General features: G+C 42.0%; 1 protein-coding gene and 1 long non-coding RNA gene across 3 annotated transcripts in view, besides 1 other annotated feature; one reads left to right on the forward strand and one right to left on the reverse strand.

Annotated features, from left to right (window-relative positions):
• DLEU7 (deleted in lymphocytic leukemia 7) overlaps positions 1–14195 on the reverse strand; it is a 132914-nt gene extending 118719 nt beyond the window's left edge. The window contains exon 1 of one of the 2 annotated variants that reach the window (NM_198989.3): positions 13444–14195. In NM_198989.3, the coding sequence (NP_945340.2) occupies positions 13444–13902 (459 nt within the window). In that variant the 5' untranslated portion in view covers positions 13903–14195. The remainder of the gene's footprint in view (positions 1–13443) is intronic. The other variant, NM_001306135.2, reaches the window with a different exon arrangement.
• The window catches only part of DLEU7-AS1 (DLEU7 antisense RNA 1), a 42051-nt gene extending 21890 nt beyond the window's left edge, over positions 1–20161 (forward strand). The window contains exons 4-5 of the long non-coding RNA NR_046551.1: positions 10284–10350; positions 18793–20161. This is a non-coding gene — a long non-coding RNA (DLEU7 antisense RNA 1). The remainder of the gene's footprint in view (positions 1–10283; positions 10351–18792) is intronic.
• Positions 12878–13804: an enhancer, noted in NCBI's record as "H3K4me1 hESC enhancer chr13:51416758-51417684 (GRCh37/hg19 assembly coordinates)". NCBI's record gives its function as "activates a minimal SCP1, AML or CMV promoter by ChIP-STARR-seq in naive H9 embryonic stem cells {active_cell/tissue: H9 hESC(naive)}" and the evidence as "EXISTENCE:reporter gene assay evidence [ECO:0000049][PMID:30033119]".
• Positions 20162–20939: the final 778 nt, after the last annotated feature.

A 20939-nucleotide genomic window follows, 5' to 3' on the forward strand; every position in this document is an offset into this window, starting at 1 on the left:
TCCGTGGGACTCTTAAGCCAGGGTAGGGAAAAATAAAACAGGTGTGTGCTTCTCTACCATTCCAGAAGGTCTGAAGGCCAACTCTGGATCCAATAATCATTGCCTTCGACCAAACTTCTGCTGAGTCTGCAATGGAAGGTAGGGGTCACAAGTCACAGCATTAAGGCAATAGTATATTAAATGGCTCATGGGCTTTCAGTAGAAACTCACATGATCAATATTGGTGATGATTTCACTTAGGATGCTTTCCATTCAACAACAAAGCCTATCCTCCCAGCCGCTTTTATTTAGCAAATCCCAGATGCTCCCAGAAATGATGTAATATCCTACACGATGCTTTGAGTACTTTGCCAGAATTAGAACTACATGGTTGAGCAATCTAAAAGCAGGTTTTGAAACTTCTAAAGCCTTGTGTAATTTCAGACTCTGGATATGAAATGTATTGATTACTACAGCAGTCCAAATTGATGGCCAGCATTTACATTTTTAAGCCAGTTGAGATACTCTCATGTAACTCAACTGATCTATTGGGGTAATGGCCTTGGCCTGTTTAACTCAGCTAAATGAATTAGTTAAATTTATTTCAAATGTGTATCAAGCCTCCACCACATGACTGGATAAAAGGCAATAAGATATGGTACTTGATCTATAAAGAGCTTATAACCTACTAGAGGGAAATGAGACACATAGATCATATAGCAAATGTCCGTTGCAGTATGATGAGGGCTATGGTAAAAACACAAAACCCCAATTCTATGGAAGAATAGACATGTATACAATCATAATTTAAGCACAGCACAGGGTTCATGCAAAGCTCATTCTGTCATGTGACTCCTTCCTACAGAGTGCTGGGTTTTTATTGTTCAAAATTCATTTGGACACACTAGAGAAATTCGTGTGCTTAGGAGGCAATCCAATCAAAGAAATAGCTCTAGTTTTTACAATATGGCTTATTAATTTTTAGCACATATCTGCCCTGAGGTAGGCAGAATAATAGCCTTTCAGTACCTGTATGTTACCCCACATGGCACAGGGACTTTGCAGATGTTACTTAGAATGGGAAGCTCTCCAAGTCATTACAAAGACCCAGGGGATGGAGACACAGTTCATTCCTTCAAGAGCACTGGACTTGCCATCTGAATGCTGGTTCTACCCCTTTGGCCAAGCTATTATGGCTATTATGCCTATGGAACACTCAGTTTTCTCATCTGCAAAATGGAAACAATAATAGCTACCACATTGAGGGGTTTCAAAAGTCAAATTAGCTCATGGATATGGAAGCTCTTTGTATTTTTTAAGTGGTCCTTTACATTAATAACTAAACTTATAGTGGACTCTGTTAGATGTTGGGAGATCAGTAAGGAGGAGGAGAGGGGAGGGGAGGGGAGGGGAGAGGGAAAAAGAAAGGGGAAGGGAAAAGAAAAGAAAAGAGAAAAGAAAAAAATCTGCCTTGTAGAAACTTAGAATCTAATTGGTGAGATGAAATCTATTTGCAATTGTTCAGTAGGAATGTCACAAAAATAAGATTAAGGTTCAACAACAAAAGTGGAGGCCATCAGTAAGCTTTTTGCAGAAGAGGGGAATGGAGGCTTGCATGAAGTATCAGAGAAGTGGTAGGTGGGAAGGACTACATTAGATACTACAAGATAGATAGGTGGTATGGAGGAACGCATTATTTGGCTTATAGGCCCCTGTAACCAAAATAAATAACAGAAGCCAAAGTGTGGAGTCAGAAGGGGCTGGGTCAGGGAGAAGGAGAACATTAGTCTGAAAAGAATAGAATTTTGTGTTGAATATGAGGACATGATTGTGTGGAAGGCCTTGAATGTCAGAGTAAAGTCCCTGAACACTTCCAATCATTGGATAACATGCAAACCAGCTTTTGAAGAACACTGGTCTGGCCCACACGCCTGAGCACCTACTCAGCACCAGACTGCAAGCTTGACTCATTCTATACTTTGTCTCACTCAGTGCTCACCACAATCCATGATAGATGAAAAGAAATGTGGCTTGGGGAGAGTACGTGATGTAGCTAAGTAACACAGCAAGTTAGTGACAGAGTTAAAATTAACTTCTGCCAGGGTTGAAGCAGAATTGATCGTGGTGGGTAAACTTTTTGATGTGCTACTGGATTCAGTTTGCCAGTATTTTACTGAGGATTTTCGCATTGATGTTCATCAGGGATATTGGCCTGAAATTTTCTTTTTTTCTTTTGTCTCTGCCAGGTTTTGGTATCAGGATGATGCTGGCCTCATAAAATGAGTTAGGAGGAGTCTCTCTTTTTCTACGATTTGGAATAGTTACAGAAGGAATGGTATCAGCTCCTCTTTGTACCTCTGGTGGAATTCAACTGTGAATCCATCTGGTCCTGGGCTTTTTTTAGTTGGTAGGTTATTAATTACTGCCTCAATTTCAGAACTTAATATTGATCTATTCAGGGATTCGACTTCTTCATGGTTTGGTCTTGGGAGGGTATATGTGTCTAGGAATTTATCAATTTTCTTCTAGAATTTCTAGCTTATTTGCACAGAGGTGTTTATAGTATTCTCTGATGGTAGTTTGTATTTCTTTGGGATCAGTGGTGATAGCCCCTTTATCATTTTTATTGTGTCTATTTGATTCTTCTCTCTTTTCTCCTTTATTAATCTGGCTAGCAGTCTATTTTGTTAATCTTTTCAAAAAACCAGCTCCTGGATTCATTGATTTTTTGAAAGGTTTTTCATGTCTCTATCTCCTTCAGTTCTGCTCTAATTGTAGTTATTTACTATCTTCTGCTAGCTTTTGAAGTTGTTTGCTCTTGCTTCTCTAGTTCTTTTAATTGTGATATTAGGGTGTCGATATTAGATCTTTCCCACCTTCTCCTATGGGCATTTAGTGCTATAAATTTCCCTCTAAACACTACTTTAGCTGCGTCCCAGAGATTCTGGTACATTGTATCTTTGTTCTCATTGGTTTCAAAGAACTTATTTATTTCTGCCTTAATTTCGTTATTTACCCAGCAGTCATTCAGGAGCCAGTTGTTCAGTTTCCATGTAGTTGTGCGGTTCTGAGTGAGTTTCTTAATCCTGAGTTGTAATTTGATTGCACTGTGGTCTGAGAGACTGTTTGTATGATTTCCGTTCTTTTGCCTTTGCTAAGGAGTGTTCAACATATGCAAATCAATAAATGTAATCCATACACAAACAGAACCAATGGCAAAAACCACATGATTATCTCAACAGATGCACAAAAGTCCTTCGATAAAATTCAACAGCCCTTCATGCTAAAAACTCTTAAGAAACTAGGTATTGATAAAACATATCTCAAAATTATAAGAGCTATTTATGACAAACCCACAGCCAATATCATGCTGAATGGGCAAAAGCTGGAAGCATTCCCTTTGAAAACCAGCACAAGACAAGGACACCCTCTCTCACCACTCCTATTCAACATAGTATTGGAAGTTCTGGCCAGGGCAATCACGCAAGAGAAAGAAATAAAGCGTATTCAAACAGGAAGAGAGGAAGTCAAATTGCCTCTGTTTGCAGATGACATGATTGTATATTTAGAAAACCCCATCATCTCAGCCCAAAATCTCCTTAAGCTGATAAGCAACTTCAGCAAAGTCTCAGGATACAAAATCAATGTGCAAAAATCACAAGCATTCTTATACACCAATAACAGAGAGCCAAATCATGAGTGAACTCCCATTCACAATTGCAACAAAGAGAATAAAATACCAAGGAATACAAATTACAAGGGATGTGAAGGACCTCTTCAATGAGAACTACAAACCACTGCTCAAGGAAATAAGAGAGGACATAAAGAAATGGAAAAACATTCCATGCTCATGGATAGGAAGAATGAATATTGTGAAAATGGTCATACTGCCCAAGGTAATTTATAGATTCAATGCTATTCCCATCAAGCTACCATTGACTTTCTTCACAGAATTAGAAAAATCTACTTTAAATTTCATATGGAACCGAAAAGAGCCTGCATAGCCAAGACAATCCTAAGCCAAAAGAACAAAGCTGGAGGCATCACACTACCTGACTTCAAACTATACTACAAGGCTACAGTAATCAAAACAGCATGGTACTGGTACCAAAACAGATATATAGACAAATGGAACAGAACAGAGGCCTCAGAAATAATGCCACACATCTACAACCATCTGATCTTTGACAAACCTGACAAAAACAAACAATGGGGAAAGGATTCCCTATTTAAAAAATAGTGTTGGGAAAACTGACTAGCCATATGCCAAAAACTGAAACTGGACCCCTTCCTTACAGCTTATACAAAAATTACCTCAAGATGGATTAAAGACTTAAATGTAAGACCTAAAACCATAAAAACCCTAGAAGAAAACCTAGACAATACCATTCAGGACATAGGCATGGGCAAAGACTTCATGACTAAAACACACAAAAAAAATGGCAACAAAAGCCAAAATTGATAAATAGGATCTAATTAAACTAAAGAGCTTCTGCACAGCAAAAGAAACTATCATCAGAGTGAACAGGCAACCTACAAATGGGAGAAAATTTTTGCAATCTATCCATCCAACAAAGGGCTAATATCCACAATCTACAAGGAACTTAAACAAATTTACAAGAAAAAAACAACCCCATCAAAAAGTGGGAAAAGGATATGAACAGACACTTCTCAAAAGAAGACATTTGTGTGGCAAACAAACATATGCAAAAAAAAAAAACTCATCATCACTGGTCATTAGAGAAACGCAAATCAAAACCATAATGAAATACCATCTCATGCCAGGTAGAACGGAGATCATTAAAAAGTCAGGAAACAACATATGCGGGAGAGTATGTGGAGAAATAGGAATGCTTTTACACTGTTGGTGGGAGTGTAAATTAGTTCAACCATTGTGGAAGACAGTGTGGTGATTCCTCAAGGATCTAGAACCAGAAATACCATTAGACCCAGCAATCCCATTACTGGTTATACACCCAAAGGATTATAGGTCATTCTACTATAAACACACATGCACATGTATGTTTATTGCAGCACTATTCACAATAGCAAAGACTTGGAACCAACCCAAATGCCCATCAATGATAGACTGGATAAAGAAAATGTGGCACATATGCACCATGGAATACTATGCAGCCATAAAAAAGGATGAGTTCATGTCCTTTGCAGGGACATGGATGAAGCCATGAAGCCATCATTGTTAGCAAACTAACACAGGAACAGAAAACCAAACACTGCATGTTCTCACTCATAAGTGGGAGTTGAACAATGAGACCACATGTACACAGGGAGGGGCATATCACATACCGGGGCCTGTAGGGGGGTGGGGGGCTAGGGGAGGGATAGCATTAGGAGAAATACCTAATGTAGATGATGGGTTGATGGATGCAGCAAACCACCATGGCACGTGTATACCTATGTAACAAACCTGCACATTCTGCACAGAACTTAAAGTATAATAAAAAAAATTAACTCCTCTATTTCAGAACTCACTCATCAGACTCGGCCCAGATCCCAAATGATGCCAGGTGCAGTAATGGCTCACAGAGCCAAGCTCAGCCATGTAGTGTGGGAGACAAGACTGGCAGGAATTATAGAGCTGTAGCTGCTCCGGTGGGGTGACAGGGGCTTCTTGGAAGCAAGTGGGAGAAGCACTAAACCAGTTTTGGGGATGGAACAAAATGCCTACAAGTGAATCGTTTCATGTTTCTTTTTTGGCCATCTTCACACTATTTTTCTTAAGGTTGACTGAGTGTTATGAGTGGTACGAAGCTCAAAAATTGGCAAGGATCACATCCAAATGGAAGACTGGCCTGTTGGCCCATCCCTCCTCCCTGCAGCGTAATTGAGAGAGCTTGGCTATTTGAAAGATATTCAAGGCATCGAACCTTCTACACCCCATGTAAAACCAACCCTGAGCTAATCAGAAACCGCCCAGCTGGAGGTTTCCTTTCCTCAGCTCTGTTCTCTCCTACCCACTGTGAGGGATGTCTCTCGGAAAAACCGCCACACTGTGTACTTTTCTGCATTCTGCATTGTGCATTTATTAGGAATGCACACATCTGGAATTCTTGAACAACTGAAAATGCACCTGCAAAATCTTAAAACGGAAGACAAGTTAAGCCTGTTTTTAAAGCTTGGTACTGAAAATAAACACTCTCATCATAACTGGAGTCTTGAAGACAAGAAGAATCTAGCAGTGTGAGTCCATTTGAAAGCCTGTTTTCTGAAACCAACACCAGTGGATAATAAAGTCAAAAACCCAATATGACTTAATAGACTCTAAAATGCAGATAACATTTAAACAATCCACAAGGATTGTGCTTTTTTCTCCTACCATGTCACCTTCAAAATCACTCCTAAATCTACGTAAATTGTAAATCAGCTCATACTCACTTAACCACCAGCTCTACAACAAGTTGGCTCTTTTGAAAACAGTCACCTCTTGAGATACCTTGAGCTTTATTCTCTTACACTGGCCTCCACAAGCTTGTTTCTTCTCACATTTCCCCCTCTAGCTCTCCCTGAAGCCTTCATGTCCTCTACAGAGAGCACGAAGGAAAGAGATGGAGATATGGGGGTGGGAGGGCAGTGAGAAAGAGAACAGAAGAGAAGAAAGAGAAGGAGAGGAGGAGAAGAAGAAAGAGAGAAAAAGGAAAGAAAAAAAGAGGCCGGGCATGGTGGCTCATCCCTGTAATCCCAGCACTTTGGGAGGCTGAGGCAGGTGGATCACGAGGTCAGGAGATCGAGACCATCCTGGCTAATATGGTGAAACCCTGTCTCTACTATAAATACAAAAAGTTAGCCAGGCGTGGTGGCAGGCGCCTGTAGTCCCAGCTACTCGGGAGGCTGAGGCAGGAGAGTGGTGTGAACCCAGGAGGCAGAGCTTGCAGTGAGCCGAGATCATGCCACTGCACTCCAGCCTGGGCGACAGAGCAAGACTCCATCTCAAAAGAAAAAAAAAAGGAAAGAAAAAAAGAAAGAGAGAAAGGAAGGAGGCAAGGAAGGAAGAAGTCTGTGTTGAGGGCTGTCCTTAATAAACTTCTGCCTGGCCAGCAAGTTGCTCTCCATTAAAGCAGTCCAGTGCTGGGCCCAACAAAAGAACACAAATCCCTTCTCCAGACCCATTAGCACCCTCTACACTGGATGTCTACATAAAAGGGGAGTGATGTTTTCTGTTTTAATAGGATGTTGTGGAAAACATACTATCATGAATTACGATTTGCCCCAACTTCATTTGGTTCATCAACATCTGGCTTTGAACCACAAATCACAGGGCCCAGAGCAGTCATCCATCACCTGAACCCAAGGTCAGTCTCAATAGATGTGTAACTGTGTATTAATAAAACACCCAATGAAGAACCAAAGTATTAGCCAGTCACCATTCAAAAGTCTATCATCCACAGGAAATTAAACATTTTTACTTGTGGTGTACCTACTGGAAATGCGCACAAATAACTAAGGCTCCTGATGCATTTGCTTTGGGTACCACACCATTTCCAGCTGAAAATCCAGTGAAAAGCACTTTTGTGATGGGTATAAGCACTTGATTCAGGGATGCTCACCAGGCAAACCCAAAAATTGTAAAATAAAACACGGTAACATTTTCACCAAGATGTCAAACATAAGTAGTTTTGTTTTAGGCCTTTCCTGAAGTATCTTTCCCTAAATGTTCATTTCAGAAAGCTTTTATGTCCTGATTTTCATATCATTCATATTATAAGAAATTGCAAAGCTATACATAAGCTACTTCTAGAGCAGTCACCGTATCCGTGGCTTACGGGGAGAGAATAACCGAAATTCTGTGACTCATCACTGCACCTTTTTTCTAATATAAAAGCATGATTTTGTCACAGATAATGAGCACCACCTTGGCTATGGCTACTGATTATATAACCGTGAGCATTTATGTCTTCAATAGTATGTTAGTAATCTTTGAAGACACAAATCTCAAATTTGCAGAAGCTGGCTTCACTTGTTCAGAGGAAGACATTGATGATGAGTGCTTTTTTCGCCAATAGGAAAAAGATTTGATTATTATTATTACCGTTAAAAGGCTGATGCCTCATGAATTCGTACTGACTGTTATTTTTGTGAATTCCGTTCTTGATATTAACAAATATAGATACTTCTGGAAAATGGCAGGGACACATTCAAATGTTTTCAAAGTTTGCTAATGACAAGGAAGGGAAGGATGCGAACTCATGGGGCTGGGTACTGAGAGAAAGCTTTGAGCATGTTTATGGACCAAAAGGGTCAGCGGAAAGGGGGCAGTAGAAAATATAAGGAGAGAGAAAATTGATAGAAACAGGTCCAGGGGCAAGTGAAAGATTTGCTTATTATTTTTTTTTACCAATGGGGAAAAAAGCACTCATCATCAATGTCTTCCTCTGAACAAGTCAATATTCATACTTGCAGTTTGCAATGACTGCGAAGCCAAAGCCAGCAGTTTTATGACTGCTGCTCTTGCACCACAGAATGAGAAAACCAGCAAGGACTATCAAACATGAGGGAATAATTGGTACCAGAATGCGCTCATTGAAACGGGTGAGCTCACAGGCAGGTTTCATCTGCAAGGGCAAAAACGTTCTTCTGCCTCTGAAAGTTAGCTTCCGCCACAATTTCCATGAAACTTGCTTTAGAACAGAACTCTTGGAAACTATAAATGTTTTTAATTCTCAAATGAAGATAGACAAAACTCAATCAGAGTAACTTCGTAATTGGCTTGGCTAACGGTCCATATGTGAATTAGTCATTTTCAGCAGTTTAAAAAATCCTAGACTAGCTTCCTCCTGGTGTCCTGCACACTTCTATGCTCCCTTTGGGTGGCAAATGTTGAATGCATTCCTGCTAGTATTACTAGTTTGATAGTGATGTCCTGAGTTTACCTAGTGCTTTCTGTCACTATATCAGGTGGCCATGATGGAAGGAGGTACAGAGATCATCCAGTGTTATGGACTAAATTGTGTGGTCCCCTCATTCATATGTTCAACCCCCAATGTGACTGTATTTGGAGATATGGTCTTAGCGAGGTAATTAAGATAAATTGAAGTTACAAGGTGGCTTGAATCTGATAGGACTGGTGTTGTTATAAGAAGAGACACCAAAGACATGCAAAGCTTTCTCTCTCTGCTTGCACGCACTGCGGACGGGCCATGTGAGGACGCAGCGAGAAGGCAGCTGTCTGCAAGCCAGGAAGGAAGCTCTTACTAGAAATGGAATTTGTTGGCACCATGATTTTGGACTTCCAACCTCCAGAACAGGGAGAATATAAATGTCTGTTATTTAAGTCACCCCGTCTTTGGTATTTTGCTATGGCAAGCAGAGCTGCCAGGCTACGATGTGACTGTTGTAGTCCAAGCAGTGTACACAGTGCACAGCATGTACAACTACGGCCCCTAAGATCTCTCACATACACAATTTCAGCATGATGTTCATAACGCCCCTAAGGGCAAGCACTGTAATGTAGGAGAATAAGTTAGATAAAACCCATCACTTCTTAGCTGCAGGGTCTTGAGCAAAGTCCTCAATTCCTCCAAGCCTCAGTTTCCTCCTATTATAAATGTTTGTTAAGCTGGTTAAACCTAGTCTCTGCAGCAAATTTAATAAGATTTAGTACTGTTAAGCATTTTTCATCCACCATGAAGAAACTCACTGCAATAGGTGTTTGCATGTGTATGATCATTTCTAAGTGTTCAAAAGGAGTATTGTGTTGGTTTCTTTAATTAAAGAGTAAAATCCTATTTTTAAATGTCTGTTATCATTGTGGTGAGAATTTTTCTGCCTCCATGCCTGCAGATTTCACTGCCTTAACCTTCTGGTGGATTGATCAGTGAGTCACTCACTGGTGACACCTCTAAGCCTGTCACTAGGCATGAGGCTAAAGCTGACCTCTAGATAGTGTAGGCTTCCTGGAAATCTCTTTGGGTCATCCTAAGTCTGTTTTTGTCAATAGTTCCAGAAAAGCAGACACAGAGTTCATGGATCATATTCATTAATATCAAGAATAGAATTCACAAAAATAACAGTCAATAAGAATTCATGAGGCATCAACCTGTTAACAGTAATAATAATGATAATCATAATAGCTCAAATAGATGGAGATTAACTTTGGGAAGCCACTGACTAAATGCATTATCTCAGTAACCCTTTAGGTTAGATACCATTGTCCTCACTATACAGGGAGGAAACTGAGGGACAGAAAGGCTAAATAACTTACCCAAGGGCCAATGACAGGAAGTGGAAGAGTAGGTTTGAAATGCTCCATGGGACTTGACTGCTGTGCTATGCTCTCTCCACTGCAGGATCTCTAATGCCTGTCATCTGCGCCATGGGCTTTAGTTCAAGTGAGTCTTCCTCCTACCTTCCGTGGTAAGTAACACCACCAAAGAGATCTGATGTTGGGGAGGTTCCCACGTACTTCTAGGTGATACAAAATAGTTATTTCCATTCCCGGAAATCCTCCTGCAAGGATTTCTGAAACCATTCTATTGTATAAAATCTGTATGTTCCCAATTTAAAAATATACAAAACACCCTTCCAAGTCATTTGAATTAACACTAGTATTAAGGAAGCTAAGTCTGCATAACCAGCCCCCTGGAAAGACAGAATGCCATCTCCTCAAGTCTAAGTGCTGTGTAATCATTACTCTACAAACCAAGTGGAGATATTACCTATTCTGCAAACAGCAAACCAAGCAAAATTCCTAGGTGCTCCCAAGGGAACAAATCATGCAGAGAAACTGCTCTCTGCTTCTCTCGAAAGCCCTCGCTGTTCCCAGGGGCCCTAAAACTCATTATCCCCCTGCGGGTGAACAGCAGACTCCAGTAGTTGTATACTTCTAGAAAGTGGAAGCAGTACATCTAAATGTTTTCAAAGTTTGCTCATGACAAGGAAGGGAAGGATGGGGACTCAAGGGCTGGGTAAGTAAAGAGTGTTATGGACCAAGAGGGTCAGCAAAGAGGGGGCGGTAGAAAATGTAAGGAGAGAGAAAATTGATAGAAACAGGTCCAGGAGCAAGTGAAAGATTTGCTCCAGTGGAATTAACATGAATATACATGGGGATGGGGGGGCAGCACTTGAATTTTAGAAACAAAAATGAAGATGAGTAGAAATGCAATTTTTTAGGTAGAAAGATATTTCTGTCCACTGGCCTCTATTTTCTCAGAAAAGGTGTGAGCGGGTTGAGGTTTGGATGAAGAAGGCTTGAGGAGGATGGAAAATGTTTAGAATCAAAAGTCAATTAGAAAGGGCTAAAAGGATTTCCAAGTAGAAGTGACTGTGGCATTAAGCTAAAATGGCATAGTTTATAGTGGACTGCTTCCAGAGCAGAGGACACGGGGTTTAGTCCATTGCCACTGAGTTGGGTCAAGCCCTTAGACAGCTGTCTTCTGACCTGACTTTCAAACTGAAACCTACCCTTCTGTGATTTATCCAGGCTTCTGTGATTTACCTACCCTCTGCTTGCAAGACAATCCAAGGTCCTCAGCATGACACACAGGCCTTTCCCTAACTGGCCCCCATTTGTGTCTCCAGCATCAGTTTTTGCCTTCTGCCATATTGAACTTAACTGTAGTTCCTCTAGAGCCTCAGTCCCTTTCAGTGCTGCTGGGCCTTAACCAAAGTATTCTCCTGAAATATTTTTCCCTTTAATGTCTGGAAAATAACATGTATTTTTTTTTTAAAGGCTGCCTCCTCTGAGAAGCCTTCCAGGGTCACCTTAGGTAAAACTGATTGTCAGTCTCTCTTTTTGCCAGCCTTACCTATGCCCTGTATGTGCTACTGACATCACAAGTCACTTCATATTTCATCTATTTTAAAATGCACTTTTATTCACATTTTTTAAAAATCCCTGAAATCAGCCAGATGTGGTGGTACAGGTTTGTAGTTGCAGCTACTGAGGAGGCTGAGGCAGGAGGATCACTTGAGCCCAGGGCTCGAGGCTGTAGTGTTATGATCGCACCTGTGAATGGCTACCACACTGCAGCCTTGGCAACACAGGCAGACCTTGTCTCAAAAAAAAAAAAAAAAAAATCCCTTAAATTAGCATGTAACTTATAATCAATGGTGTATCATAGTTCAATGACAGGATTAAAAAAAATTTTGGTGATACCAAAAAAAAGTACATCTTACATTGGAGAGCATTTGGTGAAATGCAGCTTCATTTTCTAACTTTCTAAAGTGAGTGTAGGAGTGCTTCTCATCTTGCCTCCCACCCCACCGCCCCCGCCACCTTTGGCAGTGTCTGGAGACATTTTTGGCTGTATCAACTTGCGGCGAGGAATATGCTGCTGGCATCTAACAGGTAGAGGCGAGAGATGCTGCTAAACATCCTCTAATACACAGGACAACCCCCGACAACAAAGAATTAGCCAGGTCAAAATGTGAATAGTACAGAGATTGAGAAACCCCTACGTAGAGAAACAATACCTATTTGGGTATATAATAGGCTTTATTATGTTTGATTTTAAATAAATCTTTTACAGTGTATAGTGCAACTTAATGTATAGCAACTTTTTCCAAACCTTGGCTTGTACAGAATAGCAACTCTTGAGACATATTCTAAGCTCTCCTCATCACCCCTCCCCAACTCCTTCTGCTAGATGCCCCAGGGAAATAAAATACAGCAATGCTCCTGGTCAAAATCTGAAAGCCAGAATGTCTCAGAGAGATTCGTGACCTTAAACCAATTAGGTTAGTTAATGGCAAGTCCAGGACTGAAACCCAGACCCCCAGATTTCCGCAATCTCACTCAGCCTGGGAGACAGCTGCTCCCTTCCCGGGCTAAATTGGCTAACACAGTTTGGTACCTTAAGAGGAAATGTGCCCTACCTATATGAGCTGGGTGACTTAGCAAGAGTTTAGCATTTAGTATTCACGCTTTAACACCCGGGACCCACCCAGCTCTCACCCCACTTTATGAGAATGTAGGTTGACTCTGTAAGACCCCTTAGCTCTGTGGGGAATTGGATTTATGCAAAAAATAATAGTGATTCATGAATGTGAAGGAACTTTAAATAAATGTAGATGATTTCATCATACAAAAGGCAGAAGGGACTTAGTAAGTGTATTTAAGGCTCTGGAGGAAGCGTTATTAATTTGGAAAGTGGGTGGGGGGAGCTGTCCTCTATCCCTACAAGCTGCACGTGTGGAAAGGGCCTTTCTAGCGCAGGAAGCTGATTTATGTGAGAGAGGAAGGAGTTCCAGGGGGAGGTTTTGGCAAGGCAGTCCCCACATCTCGGTTGTGCCAGCCAGGCGGGCCTCAGGTGGGTCTGGGGCTCCCTGCCCCTCCTGCTGAGTCCCCAGAGTGTCCCCCGCCCCCTTCCTTCTCCCACTGGGGCTGAATCACAGTGGGCAGCAGTGTTTGGGATCCTGCGATCCACCCATCGCCATCCCAGCAGCCCCACCCTTGGAGGATGGGAGGTTACCCTGCACGCCAGAGGGGATGGCGGGGGCCAGACTCACCTTCAGGTGAATGGGAAAGGACCGCTCCTGCTGGAGGGGCCCCAGCAGCGTCTGCTCCACGCTGACCAGCTCCGAAGTCGAGTCCACCACGCGGGCCAGCGCGCTGCGCATCGCCATCTGGGCCAGGGTGCAGGGCCCGCGGTCCCGGGGGAAGGGCAGCAACTCGGCGCCCCCCTCAGCGCCTCGCACTACCTCCTCCTCTGGGGAGTTCGCCCGCGCCGCGGTCCGCCGACTCCTGGTCCCCACGCCCCCGCCCCGCTCCTCGCGCCCGGGCCCCGGCCGGGCCCGCGGCGGGCCTGAGCGACGGGCTGGAGCGGTGGACACGTGGTCTGGGTCCCGCGGGTTCCCGGGGGCGACTGGACCGTCCCCCCAGCCCCACTCCTGCTGCAGCAGCTGCAAGGTCTGCAGAGCCACCATTTGGTGGCTGATGGAGGCCACTAAGGGCGCAGGGCTGGCCATCGCCTCCGCTGGCGGCCCGGCGCGCTCCGCGTGCAGGTGGAGCAGCAGCGAGGGAGGCGGGGGCGTTGGGGTCGCCAAGGTCACATTTTCTAACCCGCGGCTCCTCGGCCTCTGGGTCTCACAGCGTGTGTGGTCGGCCCCGCCCCCGGCTCTGAATCGGTGACCCGTGCTGGCCTCTGCCTTCGCCTGAAGTCCGAATCAGGCGTGTTCTGACCCAAAGCTGCCTGAAGCGCTGCTCGGTGTGCACTTGAAAATCAGCGAAATGCTGAGCGTTGCTTCTTCCCTCTCTCCAGGGCTTTGATGAGAAAACGTGCTGCTTTGTGCGGGCGCATCCATCGGCGGGGATACCCCGCCCCCACCTCCTTCGAAGGATGCCTGCCAATGACCACTGAGGTCTGGGAGGTGGGGGTGCAAAAGACCCACTCTAGGGCAAAAGTACGAAGGGCTCTAGAAAAACTTGCAAAAGGAAGACTGTGCCTTTCCCAACCCGAGGGGAATTTTCAGAAACTTGTTGAAGCAGCCTTCAAGGCCTTGCATCCCCCAAACAAAAGAAGGAGGAGTTGTGTATCTGGAAGTTCTGCTCTTCTCTGCTTTGCTGGGTGCCACTTGAGCACCGAGAGCCTGGTGGCTGAACTAGCATCAGCAAGCCTCAAGGCCCAGGCCTGGCACTGCCCAGAAAAGCCTAAATGTTTTTTTGTGACACTCCCAAAAGACTTAGGCAGCAAGGTTGAAGTTAATCCTTTTATGAGCCATGAACTTAGGGACAGCTGTACAAATAGTTGCTGTTTTTAATTAAACCCAACATGGCTACTTCCTTAACTTAGAAAAAAGCGACTAGCAATGTTATGCTTTGATAGATTGGAAACCATGGGTGTGTGATCACACTTAAGAAAATAGAAGATATTTGAGAGGAGTGGTATGGAAAACCAGTCCGGAGCAGCATTGTTCCTGCTTGCTTTCTGCAAGGAAAACCACTAGACAACCCAACAGCCCAGTAAAGCCAGGGCAATGGTGCATGCCCACGACAGACAGGTGGGCCCTGGCAGACCTGAGGATGGAATTGCATTACTCCTTTGGGAGCCAGACTGCACCCTTGGTGCTGTGCAGATCTGGAGAGGCTTTTGAGTGAAAAGGCCACACTGGTTAGTCTGTGAGCACAAAAGGATCATCAGAAGAGATATGGAGAGGGATGTTGGGTCCTTTAAGGTTTCCTTAACCCTGGGATAGTATGACCCCATATAATCCTCCCAACTTGCCAGCAAAGGTTCCTTCTCCTTCCCAGTGCTTTCTTCGCCTATGAAAACGAATCTGAATGCCAAGGTAAAGAAAACCTTTCTTAAACAAAAACGAGTATGTTCACACTAATTATAACTAAGTAAAAATGCACGTCTGTGCATTGACAGAGAGGAAATTACTTTGGAGGGAAGTAAATAGTTTAATGTTGATTAGATTTTTTTGCCATGAAGTTACTTAAGTTCATAATAAAAAATAGAAAGAAAAAAATTTTCTTTTTAAAAAAAGTCTTCAAATGTTGAAATATATTAGGTTCAGCAGAGACTAACCAGCAATAGCAAAAATGAACCCCTAATTTTCACAGAGCATGTCAGATCTCTAGGGCTGCCTCTCTTTCCAGATACACAGGAAATTCAGTTTCATGGGCTAACCCTTCCACTATCAAATGGCTGACTGCAAAACTTTCTTGACAGTTGGAATTGCAGCCAAGAGCAGAATTGAAATCACTAGACACAGGCTGACCTGAGGCCCCACTCTTCTACATACCACACTGAGTCAGAGCCATGAGACCAACTGAACCTCAGGGGGCATGACAGAAGGGTGCCAGAAAACCTTGGGGCCTGAGGGATGGCACATGCTGCTTAAATTGCTGCCTGCTTTTTCTAGTATTCTTAGGAAGCCCTGGATCATCTGGCAACTGAGTGTTTTGTCTGTTTTGGCTGTGGGTCGCACTGTGTTTTGCTATGATCTCAAAATGGCTTGTGTTCCAAAGCTAGAGATATGAGAGCCTAACTCAGGAAAAATTTTCATAGTCTATTTAGATGAGTCAATAGCATAGCAGATCTACCTTTGGTCTAAAACACCTCCGTAGTTACGTTTGCTGGGCTACCAGACGAAGTAACAGATAGCCTACTTCTTACCCACTGTACTCACGATTTGAGGCCATTCTGTAATAAAGGGCACATTCAAAAGGACAAAGTATTAGATATCTGATATGTTTGTTTCACAACATATATTTCACTATTTTATAGAAATCATACCCTCATTTCTCAGTAGATATGCCTTTTCCTCCACACTCTGCCCGTGAAGTCAGATGGGATGAGCCCATCTCACTGCAGAAGAGTACTGGATCATCTAGCCTAAGTCCCATCACACATCACATCCCCACAGTGCATGCATGGTCAGGAATGGGCACATGACCCAGCTAGAGCCAATGAGACAGTATCTTTTAGGATGCTTTCAGCTGAATGCACTGTAAAAGAGAAAACAACAGATGCAAAGAGTACAGGCCAAAAAAGAAGTGTAGGCCAAGAGATGAAACAGCAAAAGATCAAATTCCCTTTAAACCAGAAAACTCAACATAACATAGTTTAATCAATAAGAATAATTTATTGTCTCACATCACAAGAAGTCCAAAGGCAGAGTGGCTCCAGAGTTGGTTAATATAGCAGCTCCTCAGTGTCATCAAAGCCCTTTGTTCCTTCCTTCTTTCTGCCATGCCATTCCCAGCACATCAGCTTTGTCCTTAATTTTTGGGCTAGTTCTCCTATGGCTACTAGCAGCTGCTGGCATCATGTCTAGACAACAATAACTAGAAGAAAAGGCCATCTTTTCCTGTGTATTCCTTCTCAAGAGCAAGGAAACACTTCTCAAAAGCCTTCAGCTGGCTTCCTCTCACATCTCCTTGACCAGAATTGTGTCACATGTTCTTGCCTAATTAATCACAGTCAAGAGGAAAGAGGCTACCATGAGAGTCTAAGGTGAACTAGAATTCAGTGTAGGAGTTGGGGCTGAGCCTAGCCTCTCTCAAAGCAATTGGTGGAGGGAGGATGAAAACTACTTGATATGAAGCAAGGTTTTGTTACCAAGCATCAGCAATGGCAACAGAGAACAATGAGGATTTTGCAGGGGTTTCCAGGTAAAGAATATATCAGATTTCCAGGGCTGCTTCTCTTTATCAATACACAGCAAGTCCAGTTTCATGAGGCTGATCTTTCTACTGTCAAATATCTGACTTCAGTGACCCCTGTGCAAGTAAAGCTGAGAAGATACAAGTTCTGGAGCCTCTGCAGCCATCTTGTGAGTTTGATGGGGACAGCCCGCCTATGAATGAGCCAGCACTCATGGAGAGAAGACGTTCATGAAACAAAAGCCAACAGATGTATAGAGAGAAACCGTGGCTGTATAGCAGCATTTGAGGTCCACATTTAGCAGCACAGGAAGTCAGCCCCACCTCTGAGCTTTTCAGTTATACGAGCCGATGAAGTCTCTTTTTGCTTAAGCCTCTTTGGATTGGATTTACTGCCTACTGCAACAGAAGGAGTCACAGCTGAAGCAAATAGCCTGACATATGTTATAGGAAAGATGGCATGTTCATGGAGTGACCCTGTGACCCAGTGCCCCTTAGGCAAGGCACTGCCAGAAGGTCCCTCCAACCAACTACTTCTAGCAGTGCTTATGCCATTCACCTAACCTTTCTACAGTCTCAACAATTGTGGGAAAAGCTCTTTGGGTAACTCTGATGGGAGCATTTTTAAATGAGCACTGGAAACATTCAGCACCCTGTGGGATGGAAAAGAGAAGAGGGTAGAAAGCTCAGTGAAGTGAGAAGCAATTTTCTACCTGTTAATGGGCAAGGTAGAGTGTTGTTAGATAAATGAATATTCTGGCACTTCTGTTAATCCAAAGTTTCCTTTCCTGCATGAGCAAAAGATGCAGGTTCCTATGTGGAATCGTGGAGAAGCCGGGCACAATGAGAACCGAAGGGAGCTGGCAGAAGGTACAGTTCTGTGGAGCTGTCCTCAAAGGACTTGGCAGAGCCCAGATACATTTGAGCCCTGTTTATATTCTTTGGCATTTTTCCTCAAAAAGGATCCAAGAGAATTCCAGAAATAGAGCTGTTAACCTTCAGCGCACCCTGGTGAAGTTCATAGGTGAGGTCAGAACAAAACATGTCCAAAGAGACCAAAGAGTTATTATTCGTGAATGAAAATTATGATTGAGGAGAAACAGATGCTGAAGAGATACACCAAGATATGAAAATGTACTGTCAAAGAGAAAACAATGGAACTAGGACAAGGTGTAGGCCCAAGAAAGAAAGAAAGAGCAAAAAAGACCAAATTCTTTTTTTTAAACGTACCATTGTAATGTTTGAATATGCCAAGTTATAAAAGTAAATGCACGTGCCCTTCTAACTTTGGCCTAAACATTTGATTTTGGTGGATAAAACAAAGACGCAATACCGCCCTGAAGTCTCTGAATTGCCAAAAACAATTGTTTACATAGGATGGTGTGCTTTCAGAACATCATATGCACTACCTTCCCAGACCTTGTGAAGCTGGTGAAGTTTAATGAAGCTAGAGAAGAAAAATAGACAAGAGTGGGTAAAGGGAAAGAAAATAAGTTAAAAATGTTAACTCTCACCTGCCAGTCCAGATGTCATCTGATGTACATTTGCGCCTTTGCAATTTGTCAACACAAAATGCATTTCTTTCTGGACATATAAATCATTGTGCTTGGTTCTGTCTTAATAATCAGTTATTTGGTTTCGGCTTAGTAATCAGTTAGTTTATTTCCAAGGAGAATTATTGATATTGGCAGAAAAAAATCAAAAGTGGATTTTTTAAAAGTCAATATAATTTTTTCTAATTATTGTAGCTTTGGTGGATGATTTCAAGTTTAAGAGTGACGGAATGCCATGAATTTTCATGCTGCCTACATTTCAGTAAGACAACCTTGCTGGATTTCCCCCTCCATTTTGGATTATAAAATCTAACCCCTGCGGAACATCCTTTCACTTGGAGAGAAAAATTTACTTGGAAAAATTTCACTTGGAGAGAAAACCAAGAAAGCTTCTTGGTTTCCTGAACTATTTTGATTATCTGTGTAGATATGGCTTATAGTATTGAAATGAGGTGGCAGAAAGAGTAGTAGTGATAAAAATGGAGAAGAGAAAGGTCAAGTGAGTTTCAGTGATTTTGCCAACTAAATTCTAGGATCCTTAATGAAAAAAATGTGACCACCTTTATCACTTTCCAGGATCATCCTGTATTTTCAAGTTTCAGTAGGTACCCTTTTACTGTGATGGAAAGAAATGCTTGACTTGGGTCTATATATTTAAATTTATTTTTATTTTTTATTTTTATTTATTTATTTATTTTTGAGACAGAGTCTTGCTCTGTCGGGCAGGCTGGAGTGCAGTGGCACAATCTCAGCTCATCGCAACCTCTGCCTCCCGGGTTCAAGCAATTCTCCTGCCTCAGCCTCCTGGATAGCTGGGATTATGGATATGTACCACCACACCCAGCTAATTTTTGTATTTTTAATAGAGGTGGGTTTTCATCATGTTGGCCAGGCTGGTCTCAGACTCCTGACCTCAAGTGACCTGCCCATGCCCACCTTAGCCTCCCAAAGTGTTGAGATTACAGGTGTGAGCCACCACACCCGGTGTTATATTTAAATTTTTTAAAAAATCTTCTCTGTACCTTTCCTTACATTCATCCTCATTCCCTTACACACTTCTTTTCCTCTAAGGAATTTTCTCCTCTTGTTCTCCAAGTTCTTTTCTGGCAGGCTTTATGGCCGAGCAGACATTGGAGTTTTATCTACTCTTTCATCTGCTCCTCTCTTCCGTCTGTTTTTCCAAAGCTTCCTTTCCTATGGTAATTACCATGAAAAAAGGGGGCAAGGAGAGGGGGTTGAGGGGCCACATGGTTCTTTTGCTTAGCTTTTGTTACAAGATCACTATGGGTATATTCATGAAGTCAAAACTTCATCTGGGGAGGTTCAATGTAATCTCCAACTCTTAAACCCTGAGTGCAGCAAGGGAGAACTAAACTAGTTTTGAAAACTGGACTAGAGCCTTCCCACATTGTCTGTCTGTGCTAGGAAAACAAGAGAAGCCAACAGATGTGTTTATTTTATTTGTTTGATCATTTTGATCACTTTTGTTTCAAAATATTGTTAAGAATGGTCAGAAGAGTTGACATAGGTAAAATATGTTTTTAAAATAAATACTTGAACATGATTGAATTGACTCTTTTTCTTGGAGGAAAAAATATAAAATATTTTAAAGTATGTTTACATAAAAATATATATATTTTAGCATAAAGTATATCTCTTTTTAAATTATCATCATCTGTTTCTCTAATATTCACTCTTAATTAGCAAGTGGATCTTAAAGATGCTGATTTGACCGTAAAATGCAAATGGTCCACAGAAATAATCAAATTTCAAGCTTTTGTTCAAAAAATCATATGTACATTTTATTTTATCTGTACTTTCCATTTGAAAATTGAAACCACATTCATAAGGATCTTAAATGCCTCTGTTCAAAAATCTAAACTTTCTCAAAAGTTTAAATCATAGACTTGATGGATCATTTCTAGTTAATGATAGGTAATTTGTTAAAGAAGCATTGAAGGTGATTCTTAATGTCCTACTCACTTTTGCTAAGAACAAAAATCGAATACTTTCTCTATGTTCATTTTAATGTACAATCTATTTAACAGTGGCTTATTTTTAAAGAATTTTGAGTAATTATTATTCCATGACAGGGTAAAATATATAATACATATGATGAATCCATCATGTATATTATAGTCTACCTTGATCATGAGAGACTTCAAGCAGGAGCAAAAACAAACAGACAAACAAACAAACAAAAAAACAGAACAAAAAGACTAATAATAATGGATGCTAGTGAGGATATGAAGAAAGAGGAACCCTCATACACTGTGAGTGGGAGTGTAAATTAGTACAGCCACTAGGAATAACAGTATGGAAGTTCCTCAAAACAACTAAAA

Source organism: Homo sapiens, chromosome 13 (assembly GCF_000001405.40).
Source record: "Homo sapiens chromosome 13, GRCh38.p14 Primary Assembly".
In the NCBI taxonomy this organism is placed as follows: Eukaryota; Metazoa; Chordata; class Mammalia; order Primates; family Hominidae; genus Homo; species Homo sapiens.